At 35.0% G+C, this 4,157-nt stretch overlaps 2 annotated features.

The window, feature by feature from the left end:
* Positions 1,984-2,153: an enhancer, noted in NCBI's record as "experimental_100640 CRE fragment used in MPRA reporter constructs". NCBI's record gives its function as "activates a minimal promoter by MPRAs in K562 erythroleukemia cells, with activity observed for both the introgressed and non-introgressed 7:84398854 or rs77315113 variant alleles {active_cell/tissue: K562}" and the evidence as "EXISTENCE:reporter gene assay evidence [ECO:0000049][PMID:34662402]".
* Position 2,068: a transcriptional cis regulatory region, noted in NCBI's record as "Neanderthal adaptively introgressed variant 7:84398854 (GRCh37/hg19 assembly coordinates) or rs77315113 in the experimental_100640 CRE". NCBI's record gives its function as "modulates activity of the experimental_100640 enhancer by MPRAs in K562 erythroleukemia cells {active_cell/tissue: K562}" and the evidence as "EXISTENCE:reporter gene assay evidence [ECO:0000049][PMID:34662402]".

Genomic DNA, 4,157 nt, shown 5'->3' with positions numbered 1-4,157 from the left:
AGACTATATAAAGTGATATTAAAGTTGTGAATATGTATTTTAGAAATGCACTTATTTTTGCTTGTAATGATTAAGAAATACTGTATTTTACCATACATACAATAAGGCTATACATACAATATGAGAAAATGAATATGAAGAGGAACTCAAACCTTCCTATTACTGAAGCTAATAAATTTCTTAGTATGGGTTTACAATAAAATTCTATCCTTCTAATAGCTAATCTATGGTAGAAAGTGTATATGTCTATTATTTAATGAGAGAAAACATATTTTCTAATTTAAAACATGTATTTAATGGTAAATTATTAATTTAATAAAATGATTTATCATATAAAACATTATTAAATGGAAATTATGAAACATGCCTATTAGTTTATATACAATCCTTTTCCAATTCTTTGGCTATAAATACATTGAAGGTAGAGAAATAGACTTATTTATCTATTTTGTATCACTGGTGCCTTAAGTGGTATCCGGTTTTTGTTAGCCATCCAGTAATTGTTAGTTGAAATGAATCTTAGGAATGCTTTAAAGCATATACAAAACACTGTTTTTATGGTTAGTATCTATATGGACTTTCAATAAAACCTGAGAACATAACACTAAAATGCATATTATAGAAGGTGTTTTATGTTGCAAGGAGAACTAATGACTTCCAGGTACATAGCTTTCAGGTCATATAACTTGCTTGAGAAATAGAATTTAGAACACCTAGACAGATTAAATGATAGAATGCTCTAAACATAATAAGCTTTTAGATATTAATTCTCTAAACTGAAGTTTTAACAGAGTCCTAATAACGAGCTGTGCAAGGTCAAACTAGGTGATGAAAATAGGAAGTGCAAATTATTGACCATAATGTTTGAAGATAATCCATATGCTTTGGAGAGGAGAAACTGAAAACAAAGCTGAATGTTTATAAAGAAAATAAAGAAGGCAATGAAAGTGATTACAGGGTGTTTGTTTTGTTTTTGCTTTTGTTTTTGTTTTGCAGTTGGGGTAGAATCAAATTATACTTATGAACGTGATCCAGATTTATCTCTGACACTAAAAGAACTTTGCCTGAGGCCAGTGAGTGCCACAAAAAGAGCAATGTGGACATAATTTGGGTCATAGTTGAAAGGATGATGGAATTTCAGGAACTTGGGTTCATCCATTGATGGGTCAGAGTAAATAGACAGAAATCCAGCATTTCTATTTCCAGAAAAAGTAACTGGCCAAAGTCAAGCAGGGCACTAAGGATTCAAACACTGGTGGTATATCAGGAAAAGAGTCCAGGCCTGTAGAAAATGGGGTAGTAATGTAATCAGTGGTACAATGGGAAGAAAGGGTAAGCAGAAACTCAATCCTGGGAGTTGGACAAGTGTAGAATGCATTCAAAGTCTATTGGAGGGGCACCTTTAGGGCTCACTGAATTCTGAAAGGAATTAGAGTGGAGACATTATAGAAATTGTGACAGAGGCAGGTGGATTCCAACAAGTCTGAGGCAATTGTAAAATATTTTACTTTTGTCAGGGAATATAGAAGAAATTGGGAGTGTCTGAGCCTATAGTTGGGAACATCAGATGATAAAGGTCTAGGAAGCCAGAGTAAAAGGTATAAGATAAACAAAGAACACATTCATTGTCAATGTTATATTTAAAAACGCAAGAAATATTTTCCTGTTTTCTTATTTGACTCTAAGAACACATCGTTTTCTGTGATGGTCTTAGTTGAGCTACATTCCTTTTGAAGGCCTGATAGGCTGAGGTCTTTGAAATGTATCCCAGTTAACTAGGTGATTTGACTTACCATGGTATAAATTAGTATGGTCAATTTGAAGTGTGAATTTATTATATTATGGAACTTCTGATATTATCACTGTAATATTATTTGCTGATTCATAGTTTTAAAATTGTGTTGCTGTTATTTAAGGAAGATAATTGACCTCCTTACAGAATGTAATGATTTGGTAAATGAAGCAATGGTTTCTGGGGAAAAATCTCTATAAATGTGCACTGGAGATCAAAATATATAACGTGTGAATCTTCAGCCTGTTTCCTGTTACCCTAAGAACTGAAGCAAATAGAAATAAGAAAGTAAAAGTATTTTTATTGGAAAATTAAAAGTACTAGACAGGACTAAGGTATAAGTGAGTTGTAAAGCAAAAGAAGGAATTGGAAGAGGAATAAAGGCCAGAACCTGATACTGTATGATTTGCTTAAGAGAGTCTTATTTAAGTTAAAGCAAAGGTGAGATAGATTTAAGAATTGCAGATGAATAAGAAATCGATGAACAGAAAGAGAGGACTTACAGACTTGCTATAAGCTATTATTTGCACTCCTTTTGACATTCAGGAGAATCTGGAAGAAATTTAAAATACTGTTAACTTGCTCTTGGCTACAAAAATGAAATAAATGCAGAGATTTTTTCTTATTGAGCACATTTGATAAATCAAGTTTTTTTAAAATTATTTTCCTTTGCAAGTGTTATAGGTCATCTATTCGTATTATATAAAATTCATTGAGTTATTTTAAAATACAGTCATGTGTCACTTAACAATAGGAAAATGTTCTGAGAAATGCTTCTTTGACAATTTTGTTATTGTGCAAACATCAGAGTGTACTTACACAAACCTAGATGTTATACCTACTACCCATCCATACTATATGGTATTGCCTATTGCTCTGAGGCTACAAATCTGCGCAGTATGTTACTTTACTGATACTTTAGGCAATTGTAGCACAGTGGAAATAATTTGTATACCAAAAATAGAAAAGCTACAGTGTCATTGGCCTCCGCATCAGTATGAGGAGCATGACTGTACTTAAAAGGGCAAAGCAAGACACACTCCTATTTTACACATCTTGAAACTGAATTAGAAAGTTAGAAGATAATTTATCCTCTCTTTGATTTTAATGTTCTAAAAATGCTTAGATTTTGAAGAAGAATGAAGAATTATATTAATCTAGCTGAGCAGATTCAGTAAATTAGATCAGTATGGACAACTTAATTTATCCATTACTAAAAATAAATCAGTTCTAGCTTCATCTCTGAAACGTAAAAAGCTTGGAAGTGGTCACTCCCATGCTTACAACAAGAAAAAGCTAAACAAACTGAAAATCAATGGTTCTTCTTGGATCTATGAGTACTGAATTTGCAGGGCAAACTGCCACTCCAAAATCTGCAGAGATAGGTTAATACAGAGTCACAGCCAGGGTCTGCTTACCTGGAGCAGAAGCCATTGAAGTCACCACTGGTGGTAACATTCAAATTGCAATTTTGCTCATTTCCTAAAAGCTGAGAGTGAATGAACTTGAGAGTGAGAAATATCTAGACCTGCAGTCTGAGAGTGGAGAACATACTTCTATAGATTTACCTTTAGGAACCCTACTGTTTTCATATAGTGAAGAGCCACAAAAGATTCTCCTCTTGGCTCTATCAAAAGAAGGGGAAGAGTAGTCATTGTGAAATGTGCCCAGAGCATTCTCTAATAAACAAGGCCTACTTTGCAGGAGACTTTACCAGAGCTTTATCCCATCTGGGGAAAGGACATTTCTCTAACTCCAGCCCTAGCTAGCTTTTCTGTTTCCCCGCAGGGGGTAGGTGAAGCTAGAAAACACTTATGAATGTCACAGTCCCATGACAGCAACAAAAAGACGGAGACATAATCATAACATTACACGATATTTTCCTCTCCCACACCTTACCAGCACACCAACAGGACACTAGTGTAGTAACAGAGGAGTACAGTTGAAAGAGCTGCAAAATATAGACACTTTCTAGGAAGTACTTAGGGAAGTCCAAAGATAAAACGAGAGACAGGAACAAGGACACTAGAGAGACTTGAAGTCTCTGCCATCTACAGCTACATCAAACATCGAACATACCCTGAGTCTTAGCCAGATTAACAAAAAACCTCACATTAAAGCCAATTTACCATAGTTCTTATTTTTTTTTTTTTTTTTTGAGACGGAGTCTCACTCTGTTGCCCAGGCTGGAGTGCAGTGATGTGATCTCAGCTCACTGCAAGCTCCGCCTCGTGGGTTCACGCCATTCTCCTGCCTCAGCCTCCCGAGTAGCTGGGACTACAGGCGCCTGCCACCACACCTGGCTAATTTTTTGTATTTTTAGTAGAAACAGGGTTTCATCGTGTTAGCAAGGATGGTCTAGGTC

The sequence above is a fragment of the Homo sapiens genome, chromosome 7, assembly GCF_000001405.40.
Source record: "Homo sapiens chromosome 7, GRCh38.p14 Primary Assembly".
Taxonomy (NCBI): domain Eukaryota; kingdom Metazoa; phylum Chordata; class Mammalia; order Primates; family Hominidae; genus Homo; species Homo sapiens.
The sequence above is the reverse complement of the archived record's forward strand: the minus strand, read 5'-3'. Positions and strand labels throughout refer to the sequence as shown.